Source organism: Homo sapiens, chromosome 10 (genome assembly GCF_000001405.40).
Source record: "Homo sapiens chromosome 10, GRCh38.p14 Primary Assembly".
Lineage (NCBI taxonomy): Eukaryota > Metazoa > Chordata > Mammalia > Primates > Hominidae > Homo > Homo sapiens.
The window spans coordinates 76,217,192-76,235,731 of record NC_000010.11 but is presented as its reverse complement, the minus strand read 5'-3'; the positions used below and the strand labels follow the sequence as shown (position 1 = coordinate 76,235,731).

Below are 18,540 nucleotides of genomic sequence, written 5' to 3'. Positions count from 1 at the left end.
CATGTCCCTGCCAGCCCCCAGAAATTCCAAGCTTCTACTCCTGTAACTCAATAGTCATGAATTCCCTCCCGTAGAATCTTATCAGCCAGGGACAATTATCTATATCACAAGAGAGGAGAATAGAGGTGACACCACACCCAGAAAGACCCTGTCGCAGGCTGTCACCTATTCTGAGGGCCCATTCATCTTTCCCAGAAATCCTCTGCAGGTATACCTCATTCCACTGCACTTCACAGATACTATTTTTTCTACAAACTGAAGGATTTGTGGCAACCCTGCATCTAGTAAGTCTACCAACACCATTTTTCCCACAGCATGTGCTTATCTTACGTCTCTGGGTTACATTTTGGTAATTTGGGTAACATTTCAAACTTTTTCATTATTATTATATCTGTTATGGTGATCTGTGATCAGTGATCTTTGATTTCATTATCCTAATTGTTTTGGGGTACCATGAATCATGCTCATAGAAGATGGCAAGCTTAATAAGTGTTGTGTGTGTTCTGACTGCTCCACCAACTGACTGTTTCCCCATCTCTCTCTCTCTCCCCAGGCTTCCCTATTCCCTGAGACACAACGATATTGAAATTAGGCCAATTTATAACTCTACAATGGCTTCTAAGTGTTCAGGTGAAAGAAAGAGGCACACTTAAATCAAAAGCTAGAAATGATTAAGCTTAGTGAGGAAGGCATTTCAAAAGCCAAGATAGGCTGAAAGCTAGGCCTCTTATACCAAACGATTAGCCAAACAGTGAATGCAAAGGAAAAGTTCTTGAAGGAGATTAAAAGTGCTACTCCAGTGAGCACATGAATGATAAGAAAGTGAAACAGCCTTATTGCTGATATGGAGAAAGTTTTAGCGGTATGGATAGAAGATCAAACCAACCATGACATTTCCTTAAGCCAAAGCCTAATCCAGAGCAAGGCCTTAACTCTCCTCATTTATGTAAAGGCTGAGAGGTAAAGAAGCTACAGAAGAAAAGTTTGAAGCTAAGAGAGGTTGGTTCATAAGGTTTAAGGAAAGACGCTGTCTTCATAAAAGGGCAAGGTGAAGCAACAAGTGCTGATGGAAAAATTGCAGCAAATTATCCAGGAGATCCAGCTAAGATTTGATGAAGGTGACTACACTAAACAACAGATTTCCAATGTAGACAAAACAGCCTTACATGGGAAGAAGATGCCATTTGGGGCTTTTATAGCTAGAGAGAAGTCAATGCCTGGCTTCAAAGCTTCAAAGGACAGGCTGACTCTCTTGATAAGAGCTAATGTATCTGGCGACTTTAAGTTGAAGCCAATGTTCATTTATCATTCCAAAAATTCTAGGGCCCTTAAGAATTACGCTAAATCTACTCTGCCTGTGTGCTATCAATGAAACAACAAAGCCTGGATGACAGCACATCCGTTCACAGCATGATTTACTTAAATATTAATTTAAGCCCACTATTGAGACCTACTGCTCAGAAAAAAAAGATTTCTTTCAAAATATTACTGCTCATTGACAATATACCTGGTCACCCAAGAGCTCTGATGAAGATATACAAGGAGATCAATGCTGTTTTAATGCCTCCTCACACAACAGCCATTCTGTAGCCCATGTATCAAGGAGTAATTTCAAGTTTCAAGTCCTCTTATTTAAGAAATATATTTAGTAAGGCTATCGCTGCCATAGATAGTGATTCCTCTGATGGATCTGGGCAATAGAAATTGAAAATCTTCTGGAAAGGATTCACCATTCTAGATGTTACTAAGAACATTTGTGATTCATGGGAGGAGGTCAAAGTATCAACATTAACAGGAGTTTGAAAGAAGTGAATTCCAACCCTCACGGATGATTTTGAGGGGCTCAAGACTTCAGTAGAGGAAATAACAGCAGATGTGGTAGAAATAGCAAGAGAACCAGAATTAGAAGAGAAGCCTGAAGATAGGACTGAATTGCTGCAACTTCATGATAAAGCTTTTAAAGATGAGGAGTTGCTCCTTATAGATGAGCAAAGAAAGTGTTTTTTGTTTGTTTGTTTGTTTGTTTTGAGATGGAATCTACTCCTGGTGAAGATGCTGTGAACATTCTTGAAATGACCACAAAGGATTTAGAATATTACTAAACTTAGATGATAAAGCATAGGCAGGGTTTGAGAGGATTTACTCTAATTTTAAAAGAAGTTCTAATGTGAGTAAAATGCTATCACACAGCATCACATGCTACAGAGAAATCTTTCGTGAGTCAATCAATGTGGCAAACCTCATTGTTGTCTTCTTTTAAGAAATTGTCACAGCCATCCCAACCTTCAGCAACAACCTCCCTGATCAGTCAGCAGCCAGCAACTCTGAAACAATACCCTTCACCAGCAAAAAGATGGTAACTAACTGAAAATGCAGATAGTTATTAGCATTTTTAACAATAAAGTATTTTAAAATTAAGGTATGTATATTGTTTATTTAGACATAATGTTATCATACACCTCACAGACTACAGTATTGTATAGCTTTTATACACACTGGGAAAACCAAACATTCATGTTACTTGCTTTATTGCAATTTTTGTTTTATTGGGGCAGTCTTGATAGTGAAAGGAGGCAGCCAAATGCCTAGGCAGACAGTGGGGGTCCCCGGTGAAATCCCACCTCCAAGCTGATTACAGTTTGAAGCCTGAAAGCCAAGCTACAAGTTAAATTCTTGGACCAGACTGAGAACTTGTCTTCCCATTTGGCGCACTTTTCTCTGACTGTCCCCACCTTTCACCTATTTTACATATACCTACCCTTTCGTAATTGGTTTTCTTCACTGTCATGCCCACCTTTGAGTGGTGTCTTTGGTTTAAACTTTTTTGCATACCCCCAAACCAATCAGCACACACTCCCCATTCTGAGTCCATAAAAGGCCCCAGGCCCAGACACACAGGGGACTTTCCCACCTTTGGGTAGGGGGACCACCCCTGTGTCCCCTCTCCACTGAAAGCTGTTTCATCACCAATAAAACTCCCCATCTGGCTCACTCTTCCATTGTCAGTACATCCTTATTTTTCTTGGGTGCAAGACAAGAACTCGGGAACCAGTGTGTAAGCCAGACTTAGGCCGTCTCCTACAGCAGGTAGAGGCCATCTCCTGCAGCAGCTAGTGTGGTCGAGCAAGGCCAGGGTAGGGCATCGCTGGCCAGAGGTCTCCAGCTTGCACGGTGACCAAGAAGAAAATCCTGCATCAGTCTAGAATTGAGATTTCAATATCTCCAAGGTATGCTTGTACCTTCCCTAAGTTGTCTGCATTCCCCCTCTCTTCTCCCCTATGAAGAGGGTATAAAAACTTCTAGATCTCACTGGGTGTTCACCTTTGTTTTATATGATGCTCCTATGCATGTAATAAATTTATGTGTCCTTTCTCCTATTAATTGGTCTAATGTCCATTTATTCCATAGATTCAATTATCAAACTCTCAGAGGGCAGAGGGAAAATTTTCACTCCCTTATATCATCAGAAATATAAATAAAAATAGCACAACACTCAGTAAATGATTATGTTATTATTGTTATGTTTGTAATATCTTGGTGTCTGGTTATTTTAAATCATATCACTTAAAGAAACAGTGTTCCCTAAAACCAAGTTTATTATTATTCAGACTCCTTTAAACATGCTATTTGATATTTCTAGGAACAAAGAAGAGATAAATCAATAGAATAGGAATTACTGGAAATCACTGGGTTTCACCTCCATTTACACTGAAGTGTTATAGAAGAAATAGCCAAGAATGTGATTTTTATTTTAAGTCTACCCTGATCTCCCTAAAATTCTCTTTAGAATTCTCTTTGCTCTGGGATTGTATATGTTTTCCCCTCACTTAATTTCCCTCCTGTGGTTTGTATATAGAAACTGATAAGAAAGCACTAATCTCAAACTAACTGTGTGTGAGATTTTGTGGATATGCCCTTAATGTAAATAATCCAACCTCTCTCCTACAAACTGTTTCTGTCACAAGGCTATTTGTGATAATAACTACCACAGTCACTCAGAGACTTTTTTTCATCATTAGAGGGGTGATATCTCCACTAGCAAAGATGGTTTTTATTACTTTGCATAAACTTCTGTAGCTTAAAAGGAGCAGTAGTAAAGTTAGTTCAAGGCCCTTTATGACTTCTTTTGTTCTGCAAAGTTGGGGAGGAAAAACATCGATGAGGTATGAAAAGGCTGTTTGTTTACAGTCAGCACCAAGATCCTTGCCTTTTTCATAAAAGGAAAGGAAACCAGCAGGAGAATCACAATACCCAGCACCTCCTTGGGTCTCTCTGCATTCTCCACACTTGTGTATTAAGCAGCCAGGCAGCTGTTGAACAAGTACTATCAACAAAGCAATCTTCTAGCCCTTTGATTCAGGCTATTCATATCTTCTGCCCTGAAATAAAATGACTTTCACAATTAAAACACCGAAATCAATGCAGTATCTATTGTCATGTCTGCTGGAGAAAAGCTTTAATTACAGCCATAGTTAGATAACACAATCATTACACCTCCTTAATCTCAAATATAAAAACCAGCACCCTCTGAGTACTTTGCCACCCTTTCTTTGATTTTTTTTTCTTTTTCTTTTTTCTTTCTTTCTCTTTCCCCCACAACATGAATGGCTTTTTATCTAAGCACTTCAATTTGCATGCCTTTGCTCGGAGGCAGCTCCCCATGATATGTTAATTGCAGATTGCTTTAAGTACTAAAAGATTAACATAAAACCCTTTGCAAACAAGCTAATAGTTTATGATAATTTTTGCATGGCCTTTGTCTGTCTATCACTGGATTGCCTCTAGCTGTAATTTTATAAAGAAGCTGTAAAATATCATTTAAACAAGTTCATTTACACATAATTATTACCAGAATCACATTATTCAATTTAGATACTCCAGCCTATTAACAATCCATGAACTAAAATGTAATTAAACTATTTTCCTTTTATGAACCTATTCATTACAATGTATGGGAGATGGATCTCTCAGTTTCACTGCAAATTTCAGCACTTTGTTGTTGAAATTGACAAGTCTGGCACTCATTATGTGCTTTTAATTATATTAAAAGTATTGCAAGACAGCTCAGATAAAGAATATGTTTAGAAAAGAATGCCTGGAAATGCCAAGATGGTGTCATCCCCAAATATATATTTATTTTATTCATGCATGGGATTTTTGGGGTTTTTTTTTTTTTTGCCCTCTTAACAGTGAAAAATAAAATCATGCTAGTTGTTTTAATTGATATTTTCATAGTTTCTCTTAGTAAGTTTTCTAATTTAAGCCAAGGATAAATATCTCATCTAATTAATAGTGTTTACTCATTTTTCCAGATTTCTATCTACTTTTTTTTGAAACTACAGTCAGAATAATATCCAAAAAAGTATATTCTCCCAGCATTTACATACAGATACACAATTATTTCAGATATGAAGGATGCTGTATTTGTAATTTGATTTAAAACTACTGACTCGCTTAATTCTGGATACAAACTTGAATATGTGTGGAAGCAACTGAATTAATAAGAAACATTTAATCTGTTTTGAAAGGGACAAGTTTCCCTCTCTGCTTTCTGCTTGGTGTTGCTTGATTTCAGAGTTAACTCAACTTTTAGTTAGGGTGTTACAGTAGGTAGGCAGTCAGACATCAGCAGGGCAGGAGAGACCCACCCCTACCCCACCAGGAATGTCAGGCAACCATCAGGTGATGGTCAGGCAGTTATTACACTGCCTCGCTAAAATAATAATTGGTCCCAGGGGGCTCCAGGGAAAGGCAGCCTACCAATAGATAGAAATACCTGAAACTGGTTATCAGCAGCTTCCTGAAAAGATCTCAGGAGTTGGGTGAATGGGCTTAAGAAAGTGAACTAAGGGGCAAAATGGTGAAGTCGAAAATGGCTCAAAGGAGCATGCGTACAACTTCAGTAAACACACCCAGGTTGGGTGCTCCTGGAGCAGCTATAAAAAAGGATGCCACCAACTCCCAAGCCCAGACTGGATCCTCCCCAACCTCCCACCCGCAAAGACACGGGCTCGGAAGAGATACCTCAAAGTGTGGGGGTGTTGATATGCTGAGTATTTTGAACTAAAGAAGCAGTCTCAGAACCAGAGTCTGACCTTCTTCTGCCCACCCTCTCTCACCCCTCTACCTCTTGCCAAGCACAGAGGGCGGCTTTTTCTGAAGTTCCCTCATCTGACTAAGGGAAGTTCCTCTAGAAGGAATGCAATTGTCTTGCATCACCTCTCTATAATCTCATCAAACAGGGAAGATTAACTTGCAGAAATGAAGACTAGAGTACACAGCACACTCAGAGCCCAGACAGACTTCGTCCCAGGACATCATCTGTTCTTGATGCCCATTCTTCTCTCCTAAACATCATTTACTTTTTCCTCTAAAAGTGCCTGCAGACCCCCACTACTCTCTCCCATGGAGAAGGGCATATAAGCTTCGAATCTCACGGGGTTATTGGGCACTCTGTCTCTTGTGATGCCCCATGCCTGTAGTAAATTTATGTACCTTTTCTCCTGTTGATTGGTCTATTGTCATTTCAATTCTCAGACTCAAATACCAAACCTCAACAGACGTTCTCGCCCAACAAAGACATACTTGGTATATTATTGTCCAAACCTTCGCATTCCATTGTCCCAGCTCCATTCTCCTTAGAATTTCAACATCTCCTGCTTCTACTATAATCCAGATTGCATTTATCCTTCATAGAGAAACCATGTTTGCAAAAACTGTATCAGTGAGAAAAATTATAACAGTAAGCTAAGCTAACCTTCCCCACATCTTGCCTTTCCCTTAGTTATTCCTGAGTTATTAGGCCAAGCTAACTTTGGAAAACATTTAAGCTATAGTTTAAATAATAGGCCTTGCCCAAAACTCAAGTGCTTTTTGTAAAGCTAGTGGGAGCCTATCAGGCTATGCAGAGGAGAACCTGAGTCCTGCTAAGGTGCAGGCATAAATGATTGTCAGCCATTATTCTGGAGGTTATAAGATGTGCAATGTCCCCAATTACTCCTGCAAATAACACAACTATTGTAGGTTGGCCTTTTGAGATATCTTTCCAGGTTTTTTGCATGTCTGACACCCATGGCTCCACCTGGACTCGCCAACCCCACTCCTGTGGCCCCACCCTGAATTGATTCAGTGCATAGGAGGACCGATTCAACCCCCTATGATTTCATCTTTGCCCCAACCAATCAGCGGCAAGTGTCTGTTACCTGATCACCTTTACCCCTTTACCCCAAACTGTCTGAAAAACGCCAATCCTATGAATTCTGGACAAGATGATTTGAGTATGAACTTCATCTCCCACATGGCATGCCTGGCCTGGTGTCTATTAAACTCCGTCTATTACAATGCCATGGTCTTTGTTTATGCAGAGGGCACCAAGGAACCCCTTGGGTGGTTAAAATAGATTAAATGACCAACAATTTCCTGCCGGGCGTGGTAGCTCATACCTAGCACTTTGGGAGGCTGAGGTGGGCAGATCACAAGGTCAAGAGATGGAGACCATCCTGGCCAACATGGTGAAACCCCGTCTCTACTAAAAATATAAAAATTAGCTGGGCGTGGTGGCGTGTGCCTATAGTCCCAGCTACTCGGGAGGCTGAGGCAGGAGAATCACTTGAACCCGGGAGGCGGACGTTGCAGTGAGCAAAGATCACACCACTGCATTCCAGCCTAGCAACAGAGCGAGACTCTGTCTAAAAAAAAAAAAAAAAGACTAACAATTTCCATTAAGAACCTTCCATGCCCTCCACAGTCCCCACTGGTTGAACTCTGTGAGCACTGTAGCCTGGAATGCTGAGTCAAAATTCTGCACACATTTTCTTATATAAGTATCTATGTGGTCTGTGGGTATCTCATCTCCTCAACTACTCTGTGAGTTTCTCTTCTTATACCTCTATATCCCTCTTATGGCCTAAAAGTGACTTATACTTGGCCAGTATTTAATAAAAAATACTGTACATACTGATGCGATATTAAAACCAACCTGTCTCCCTTTCTCAGAGAGCCAGTAATAGGACATACTATGAGAGACTATAGGATATGCCCTGTGATTCTCTGGTCTTAACACTAATGTAGTTACTCTTCCTTGGGGATAATATCAAAGGGGAAATTCAGTTGATTACAAGAATGGCTTTACAATTTGGCTAAAAGAATCTTGAGAAACAAAAATCACCCTAAAACTATCAGGGCCTTGGGAAATTCACTACTATCCACAACCTCTGCATTCTACTCTGTCTGTCAAAGACTTGCAAGATTTCCACTGATGGAAAAATTACAGTTGGTAGGTACAATGCCCCACGTTCATGGAGCCAGTTGTCAATCACATTGAAGGAGTTTAGGAAGGAAGAAAAAACAGAGAAACTTTCTACTTTAAGACTCTTGCATAAGAATAGATTTAGGATGATTATCAAAAATCTTAAAATAAATAAACAAAAAAAAGTCCACAGCTAGTGCTTCAATATACTTTACCGATATATTTACTGATATTACTTATTGGGTAGACTTTGAATCCAAGGAGGAACACAGTAAACAAGGTCACACCAACATGAAAAACCATTCTAAATTCCTTTTTTCCATTCATACCTCACAGAATTTGATAGAACATAACCAACTCCTGCTTATCTGAACTAATTCAGGCAAACAGGCATGGGGAATTCACTCCATCATGTGATTCAGATAACAGGTAGAGGCACTTTGACAGGCTTTCCATAATATTTTTTTCTAAAGTATATGCCATGTATTTCTCTTATCATGAACCTCACAACATTGCTTGTTTTATTCATCAGTATACGTTAAAATCTGACACAATGTCTTAGTGAATTTGTGTTGCTATAAGGGAGTACCTGAGGCTGGGTAATTTATAAAGAAAAGAGATTTATTTGTCTCACAGCTCTGCATGCTGTACAAGATGCATGTCACAACATCTGAATCTGGTGAGGGCTTCAGGCTGATTCCACTCATGGAGGAAGGTGAAGGGGACCTGATATGGTTTGGCTCTGTGTCACCACCCAAATCTCATCTTAAACTGTAATCCCCACATGTTGAGGGAGGGAAGTGACTGGATTATGGGGGCGGTTTTCACCATGCTGTTCTTGTGATAGTGATTTATCACAAGATCTGATTTTTGTTTTGTTTTGTTTTCTTTTCTTTTTTGCAGATGGAGTTTTGCTCTTGTCGCCAAGGCTGGAGTGCAATGGCGTGATCTCGGGTCACTGCAACCTCTGCCTCCTGAGTTCAAGCAATTCTCCTGCCTCAGCCTCCCAAGTAGCTGGGATTGCAGGCACGTGCCACCATGCCCGGCTAATTTTTGTATTATTAGTAGAGACGGAGTTTCACTGTGTTGGCCAGGCTGGTCTTGAACTCCCGACCTCAGGTGATCCACCCGCTTCAGCCTCCCAAAGTGCTGGGATTACAGGTATAAGCCACCACGCCCGGCCTGATCTGATGGTTTTATAGGTGTTAGGCAAGTTCCTCCTTCACTCACACTTCTCTCTCCTGCTGCCTTGTGAAGAATGTGTTTGCTTTCCCTTCCACTATGACTGTAAGTTTCCTGAGGTCTCCCCAGCCTTCTGGAACTGTGAGTCAATTAAATCTCTTTCCTTTATAAATTATCCAGTCTCTGGATTAAGAAAATGTGGCACATATACACCATGGAATACTATGCAGCCATAAAAAATGATGAGTTCATGTCCTTTGTAGGGACATGGATGAAGCTGGAAACCATCATTCTCAGCAAAGTATCGCAAGGACAAAAAACCAAACACCACATGTTCTCATTCGTAGGCGGGAATTGAACAATAGGAACATTTGGACACAGGAAGGGGAACATCACACACCGGGGGCTGTTGTGGGGTGGGGGGAGGGGGGAGGGATAGCATTAGGAGATATACCTAATGTAAATGACCAGTTAATGGGTGCAGCACACCAACATGGCACATGTATACATATGTAGCAAACCTGCATGTTGTGCACATGTATGCTAGAACTTAAAATATAATAAAAATATATATATAATAATAAATAAATAAATAAATAAATAAAATAAATTACCCAGTCTCAGATATTTCTTTACAGCAGTGTGAACATGGACTAATACAGGAGCCAATGTATGTACAGATCACATGGAGAGAGAAGAAAAGAGAGAGAAGTGAGGAAGTTCCAGGCTCTTTTTAACAACCAGCTGTTACAGGAACTTATAATAGAGCAATACCTCATTCATTACCAATCCATTTATGAAGCATCCATCCCCATCACCCAAAAAGTGGTCCCATTAGGCCCCACCTCCAACACTGGGGATCAAATATCTTTTCTTTTTTTTTTTGAGACGGAGTCTCACTCTGTCACTGAGGCTGGAGTGCGGTGGCATCGTGTCATCGTCAGCTCACTGAAACCTCCGTCTCCTGGGTTCAAGCAATTCTCCTGCCTCTGCCTCCTGAGTAGCTGGGATTACAGGCGCCCACCACCACGCCCAGCTAGTTTTTATATTTTTAGTTGAGTTGGGGTTTCACCATGTTGGCCAGGCTGGTCTCGAACTCCTGACCTCAGGTGGTCTACCCAGCTCAGCCTCCCAAAGTGCTGGTATTACAGGTGTGAGCCATCCACTGTGCCCGGCCTGGGGATCAAATTTCAGCATGAGATTTGGCGGCGTCAAATATTTCCAAACCATAGCACACAGAGACAACTCAATAAATGTGTTAAACGTTTAATTAATTAGTGGATACCTGACATACTAGCTGGGACTTTACTTCAAGATGGAGTCATAACAGAACCAGATATACCATATCTGGTACATTTACAAAGAAATATAGACTCAAATGCTGGGTTTATATTGTTAAGAAAAAGCATCCAAAACTTGGATGTAAAGGGGTAGGGGGACAAGGAAGGACACAATATCCCTTCAATGGCATATTTTATCTTTGTGAACAGGTCTTCCCAAGGGTTAGTTAATTCTTCCTAGATCATACCTATATTTGACTTCACTGCTCATTACTTGATCACAACCTAGATACAATGAAGTTACATGTTAAATTGTAGATTTTTGTCCGGTAAAAAAAAAAAAAAAAAAAAAAAGAGTCCTAGACATTATTATTTTATTGCTCTGTAGAATACTGACCAGCTTTGAATCTAACCTAGCAATCCTTGCCTAACATTTTTTTTTTCTTTTTTGAGACAGGGTCTGGCTCTGTTGCCCAGGCTGGAGTGTAGTGGCATGACCTTGGCTCACTGCAGCCTCAACTTCCCAGGCTCAAGTGATCCTCCTACTATAGCCTCCTGAGTAGGTGGGACCACAGGTGCATGCTACCATGCCTGGCTAACTTTTGTATTTTTTGTAGAGATGGGATTTCTCCATTTCCTCCAGGCTGGTCTCGAACTCCTGGGCTCAAGCAATCTGCCTGCCTTGGTCTCCAAAAGTGCTGGGATTATAGGCTGAGCCATCATGCCTGGCCCCCATTCTTTTTTTTTTTTCAGTGCTTATACATACCCAGTTCCTCAAGTGCTCTTAGAACCAGCTTTACCACATCACTGGTTCCCTCATTACTAATTTAAATATATTAATAATTTTAACATAATGATATATGTGTTCATATAGAATTTGAGAGTCATATAAATTTTTAGAAAATTATAATGTCCTAGGACAGGGCTTAGCAACCACTGTGATGCTGAGGGGCCCTACTGAGGCACAGCCACAACTTCCCAACCCTAACTTATGTAGACATAAGGAATACCTGGGGAAACTAGAGAACAGAATGGTTGGCAGGTAGCTGATCCCAGTCAACCTTCCATATCCGGCAGGCAAGAACAGAAGGCTGAGGCCAAGGGATAGACCAAGTAGAAAGACAATTCTCCCAAAGAGGAAGTGAAAGAAGAGTAGCTGGAGGAAAGAGTGGACAAGAAAACAGAGAAAAGACCACGAAGAGATGCTGTCACAGTCAAATGAGGTGATATAACAAAGGACCACAGACTGGGTGGCTGAAACAATAGGAATTTTCTCACAGTTCTGGAGGCTAAAGTCACAAATCAGGTGTCAGCATGGTTGGTTCTGGTGGGAGCCCTCTCTGGAGCTGCACTGCCTACTTCTCATTGCATCCTCACAGGGCCAAAAGAGAGCAGGAAAGCTCTCTGGGAGCCCACAGGTAAGGGCATTAATCCCATTTATGAGGGCTCCACCCTCATGACTTAATCACTTCCTGAGGACCCCTCTTCCTATTACCATCACATTGCAGTTTAAGATTTCAGCATATGAATTTTGGGGGAACACATGATTCAGTCTATAACATTATAGACACATCCATTAGAGAGAGGTAGGAGCCTCAAGGGAGTCTGCTTTGATACTTGCACCTTCAGAGAAAGAAATTCCTCATCTCTACAAGAAATGGCTGGACCAGGTAATTCTTCTGTAGCTTGAATATGAAATTTCCTAATGGTTTCTCTATTCAGTATTTAAGGAGACTCTTTTTTATTATTATTATTATTATACTTTAAGTTTTAGGGTACATGTGCACAATGTGCAGGTTAGCTACATATGTATACATGTGCCATGCTGGTGTGCTGCACCCATTAACTCGTCATTTAGCATTAGGTATATCTCCTAAAGCTATCCCTCCCCACTCCCCCCACCCCACAACAGTCCCCACAGTGTGATGTTCCCCTTCCTGTGTCCATGTGTTCTCGTTGTTCAATTCCCACCTATGAGTGAGAATATGCGGTGTTTGGTTTTTTGTTCTTGCAATAGTTTACTGAGAATGATGATTTCCAATTTCATCTATGTCCCTACAAAGGACATGAACTCATCATTTTTTATGGCTGCATAGTATTCCATGGTGTATATGTGCCACATTTTCTTAATCCAGTCTATCATTGTTGGACATTTGGGTTGGTTCCAAGTCTTTGCTATTGTGAATAGTGCCGCAATAAACATACATGTGCATGTGTCTTTATAGCAGCATGATATATAGTCCTTTGGGTATATACCCAGTAATGGGATGGCTGGGTCAAATGGTATTTCTAGTTCTAGATCCAAGGAATCGCCACACTGACTTCCACAAGGGTTGAACTAGTTTACAGTCCCACCAACAGTGTAAAAGTGTTCCTATTTCTCCACATCCTCTCTAGCACCTGTTTCCTGACTTTTTAATGATTGCCATCCTAACTGGTGTGAGATGATATCTCACTGTGGCTTTGATTTGCATTTCTCTGATGGCCAGTGATGGTGAGCATTTTTTCATGTGTTTTTTTGGCTGCATAACTGTCTTCTTTTGAGAAGTGTCTGTTCATGTCCTTCACCCACTTTTTGATGGGGTTGTTTGTTTTTTTCTTGTAAATTTGTTGGAGTTCATTGTAGACTCTGGATATTAGCCCTTTGTCAGATGAGTAGGTTGCAAAAATTTTCTCCCATTTTGTAGGTTGCCTGTTCACTCTGATGGTAGTTTCTTTTGCTGTGCAGAAGCTCTTTAGTTTAATTAGATCCCATTTGTCAATTGTGGCTTTTGTTGCCACTGCTTTTGGTGTTTTAGACATGAAGTCCTTGCCCATGCCTATGTCCTGAATGGTAATGCCTAGGTTTTCTTCTAGGGTTTTTATGGTTTTAGGTCTAATGTTTAAGTCTTTAATCCATCTTGAATTAATTTTTGTATAAGGTGTAAGGAAGGGATCCAGTTTCAGCTTTCTACATATGGCTAGCCAGTTTTCCCAGCACCATTTATTAAATAGGGAATCCTTTCTCCATTGTTTGTTTTTCTCAGGTTTGTCAAAGATCAGATAGTTGTAGATACGTGGCGTTATTTCTGAGGGCTCTGTTCTGTTCCACTGATCTATATCTCTGTTTTGGTACCAGTACCATGCTGTTTTGGTTACTGTAGCCTTGTAGTATAGTTTGAAGTCAGGTAGTGTGATGCCTCCAGCTTTGTTCTTTTGGCTTAGGATTGACTTGGCGATGTGGGCTCTTTTTTGGTTCCATATGAGCTTTAAAGTAGTTTTTTCCAATTCTGTGAAGAAAGTCATTGGTAGCTTGATGGGGATGGCATTGAATCTATAAATTACCTTGGGCAGTATGGCCATTTTCATGATATTGATTCTTCCTACCCATGAGCATGGAATGCTCTTCCATTTGTTTGTATCCTCTTTTATTTAATTGAGCAGTGGTTTGTAGTTCTCCTTGAAGAGGTCCTTCACATCCCTTGTAAGCTGGATTCCTAGGTATTTTATTCTCTTTGAAACAATTGTGAATGGGAGTTCACTCACGATTTAGCTCTCTGTCTGTTATTGGTGTATAAGAATGCTTGTGATTTTTGTACATTGGTTTTGTATCCTGAGACTTTGCTGAAGTTGCTTATCAGCTTAAGTAGATTTTGGGCTGAGACAATGGGGTTTTCTAGATGTACAATCATGTCATCTGCAATCAGGGACAATTTGACTTCCTCTTTTCCTAATTGAATACCCTTTATTTCCTTCTCCTGCCTAATGGCCCTGGCCAGAACTTCCAACACTATGTTGAATAGGAGTGGTGAGAGAGGGCATCCCTGTCTTGTGCCAGTTTTCAAAGGGAATGCTTCCAGTTTTTGCCCATTCAGTATGATATTGGCTGTGGGTTTGTCATAGATAGCTCTTATTATTTTGAGATACGTCCCATCAATACCTAATTTATTGAGAGTTTTTAGCATGAAGGGTTGTTGAATTTTGTCAAACGCCTTTTCTGCATCTATTGAGATAATCATGTGGTTTTTGTCTTTGGTTCTTTTTATATGCTGGATTACATTTATTGATTTGCATATATTGAACCAGCCTTGCATCCCAGGGATGAAGCCCACTTGATCATGGTGGATAAGCTTCTTGATGTGCTGCTGGATTCGGTTTGCCAGTATTTTATTGAGGATTTTTGCATCAATGTTCATCAAGGATATTGGTCTAAAGTTCTCTTTTTTGGTTGTGTCTCTGCTCGGCTTTGGTATCAGGATGATGCTGGCCTCATAAAATGAGTTAGGGAGGATTCCCTCTTTTTCTATTGATTGGAATAGTTTCAGAAGGAATGGTACCAGTTCCTCCTTGTACCTCTGGTAGAATTCGGCTATGAATCCATCTGGTCCTGGACTCTTTTTGGTTGGTAAGTTATTGATTATTGCCACAATTTCAGAGCCTGTTATTGGTCTATTCAGAGATTCAACTTCTTTCTGGTTTAGTCTTGGGAGGGTGTATGTGTCAAGGAATTTACCCATTTCTTCTAGATTTTTGTAGTTTATTTGCATAGAGGTGTTTGTAGTATTCTCTGATCGTAGTTTGTATTTCTGTGGGATCGGTGGTGATATCCCCTTTATCATTTTTTATTGCGTCTATTTGATTCTTCTCTCTTTTCTTCTTTATTAGTCTTGCTAGTGGTCTATCAATTTTGTTGATCCTTTCAAAAAAAACCAGCTCCTGGATTCATTAATTTTTTGAAGGTATTTTTGTGTCTCTATTTCCTTCAGTTCTGCTCTGATCTTAGTTATTTCTTGCCTTCTGCTAGCTTTTGAATGTGTTTGCTCTTGCTTTTCTAGTTCTTTTAATTGTGATGTTAGGGTGTCAATTTTGGATCTTTCCTGCTTTCTCTTGTGGGCATTTAGTGCTATAAATTTCCCTGTACACACTGCTTTGAATGTTTCCCAGAGATTCTGGTATGTTGTGTCTTTGTTCTCATTGGTTTCAAAGAACATCTTTATTTCTGCCTTCATTTCGTTAAGTACCCAGTAGTTATTCAGGAGCAGGTTGTTCAGTTTCCATGTAGTTGAGCAGTTTTGAGTGAGTTTCTGAATCCTGAGTTCTAGTTTGATTGCACTGTGGTCTGAGAGACAGTTTGCTATAATTTCTGATCTTTTACATTTGCTGAGGAGTGCTTTACTTCCAACTATGTGGTCAATTTTGGAATAGGTGTGGTGTGGTGCTGAAAAAAAATGTATACTCTGTTGATTTGGGGTGGAGAGTTCTGTAGATGTCTATTAGGTCCACTTGGTGCAGAGCTGAGTTCAATTCCTGGGTATCCTTGTTAACTTTCTGTCTCGTTGATCTGTCTAATGTTGACAGTGGGGTGTTAAAGTCTCCCATTATTAACGTGTGGGAGTCTAAGTCTCTTTGTAGGTCACTCAGGACTTGCTATATGAATCTGGGTGCTCCTGTATTAGGTGCATATATATTTAGGATAGTTAGCTCTTCTTGTTGAATTGATCCCTTTACCATTATGTAATGGCCTTCTTTGCCTCTTTTGATCTTTGTTGGTTTAAAGTCTGTTTTATCAGAGACTAGGATTGCAACCCCTGCCTTTTTTTTGTTTTCCATTTGCTTGGTAGATCTTCCTCCATCCTTTTATTTTGAGCCTATGTGTGTCTCTGCACGTGAGATGGGTTTCCTGAATACAGCACACTGATGGGTCTCGAATTTTTATCCAATTTGCCAGTCTGTGTCTTTTAATTGGAGCATTTAGTCCATTTACATTTAAAGTTAATATTGTTATGTGTGAATTTTATCCTGTCATTATGATGTTAGCTGGTTATTTTGCTCGTTAGTTGATGCAGTTTCTTCCTAGCCTCGATGGTCTTTACAATTTGGCATGATTTTGCCGTGGCTGGTACCGGTTGTTCCTTTCCATGTTTAGTGCTTCCTTCAGGAGTTCTTTTAGGGCAGGCCTGGTGGTGACAAAATCTTTAATTGCATTCTCCCAGTGCCTTTGGGCAATCATGAAAGGCTCTTGCACTCATAGTTCCTCCCAACATTCCTAGTCTGCACCACTTTGTATTTGGATGTATTTGGGCCCAGGAGCTGCATAGATTCTGTTTCCTCGGCAAGGACAGGCTGTGCACCTCCTCTGCTATCACACTGGCTGCTCCCCATGGGACTGTGTCTAACACCAACCCACAAGAAAGGAACCCTATCAGGTTAGAAACAACAATTTCCCCAGAGCTGAGTAATTCTCTTGCTGTTTTTTGCAGTGAGACTCACAGCTATTCTCACCTGCAATTCTGAGAACCAAGGAAAGTAAAAATGGTGATTTGATCCACCAACAGGCCATCAGAGGGCCTACACACCTCCCAGGTGGGGCTGGAACCCACCTGGATGACCAAAGAAGAGATCTCATTGTCCATTTCATTTTTTAAGTGTACTGCATACTTGCCTGACTCAAAAAAACCATGGTGCCTCTTGGATATCTGTAAGTTGCACGCAGCTAACTACATTTCCCTCCATGCCTGGGGGAGAGTTTCAACCTCAAACAACTTTATTTAAACAATTTCTTACTTAACATGTTTTTCTCAGTGCTTCAAATCCAATCACTCCCTGCATTGCAGGGAAGAACTGCTACAGGACAAAAAGAACACCACAAGCTGTTTTTATTTTAATATCTTCCGGGTCTCTCGGCACTGCCATCATTTGGGCTGTCAGCCCTGCACTGCCCGAGGTGGCTTCCTGCACTCAGCAGACAGTCTGCCTCCCCACTAATGGCACTGTTCGGGCAAGAGGGAAATGCAATTTTCCACTCCATTACAAGCACTGTGTAAAAGGACCTCTTTTCCTCAGTGCACACAGATAAGGACCTAATGAAATTCCATTCACTAAGTATTACAATAGCCAACTCCACTCCAAATACACACGTTCCATGCTCCCGCCAGGCCTTCCACTCTAGAAGCCATTGCCACTGAATGTCCCTGGATTGGATTGCATCAGGATGAAAAACTACAGGGTACGCAGGGAGAAGGGAAGGTCACAAAGATGGCAGCAGATTCATGTTTTCAGATCTTCCTTCTATCCATTACACCTGGATGGGGCTTCTTATGGATTCTGGTAGAAGCTTGAAATTCTTGTACAGGAAATAGCAATATTGGGAGAGCCAAAGGACTCCCTAAGAACTCTAGACACCACATATCCTACAGGAACAGGTGACAAAAGTAAGAGAAGAGGGTAATGCACTGTTTGTATTTAATATGGGAAGTAAAAACAGATGAGGCTCCTATTGAGGATATGAATCTCACACAGCACATGAGGGAGAAACTGTTCAAAAAGTAAAATTACTTCTCCATATTCTCCAACCTTACCCATATCCCTTTCCCAACGCGTTTCCCCTTGACTCATCGTAAAGCAGTGTGAACGTAATAGAAAATAACATTCTCTTCTTCTTCCCCATCACAGTGTGAGTACCCTCCTGGTCCCCAGAAGTTCCCAAGTTGTGCTGTGTCCCCCTAGCACTAATATTCTGTATCTACAAGGAACTCTGGATTTGCCTCACATCAGAACTCATCACTCTCATAACCATTCCCCCCCAGCCAGGTTCTATTGTCACCAAATAACTCATGTCACACAAGAAGAATTGGTTATGGTCTAGTTTAATAGCAAATCAGGAGGTCGCTCCTAGAGATACAATGTCTTGGCTTCAAAGGATTGTTAATGTTGAAGCTGAAGGTATAGCTGCTATGTGTATGGAATACAGTTTGGGGGAATGAAGCCATGAAATCTCTTCAATCATGTCACTATATTGCAGTTGAGCCATGCAACTTAACAATGAGGAAGATGGAAAAATATTATTATACC

The 18,540-nt window shown here is 40.7% G+C and overlaps 1 protein-coding gene across 3 annotated transcripts in view, besides 2 other annotated features; it reads right to left on the bottom strand.

Moving 5' to 3' along the window:
• Nucleotides 1-18,540, bottom strand: part of LRMDA (leucine rich melanocyte differentiation associated) — a 1,128,545-nt gene that overhangs the window by 324,437 nt on the left and 785,568 nt on the right. The gene's annotated exons all lie outside the window — the stretch shown is intronic.
• Nucleotides 3,636-4,353: an enhancer, noted in NCBI's record as "OCT4-NANOG hESC enhancer chr10:77991137-77991854 (GRCh37/hg19 assembly coordinates)". NCBI's record gives its function as "activates a minimal SCP1, AML or CMV promoter by ChIP-STARR-seq in naive and primed H9 embryonic stem cells {active_cell/tissue: H9 hESC(naive and primed)}" and the evidence as "EXISTENCE:reporter gene assay evidence [ECO:0000049][PMID:30033119]".
• Nucleotides 4,354-5,073: an enhancer, noted in NCBI's record as "OCT4-NANOG hESC enhancer chr10:77990417-77991136 (GRCh37/hg19 assembly coordinates)". NCBI's record gives its function as "activates a minimal SCP1, AML or CMV promoter by ChIP-STARR-seq in naive and primed H9 embryonic stem cells {active_cell/tissue: H9 hESC(naive and primed)}" and the evidence as "EXISTENCE:reporter gene assay evidence [ECO:0000049][PMID:30033119]".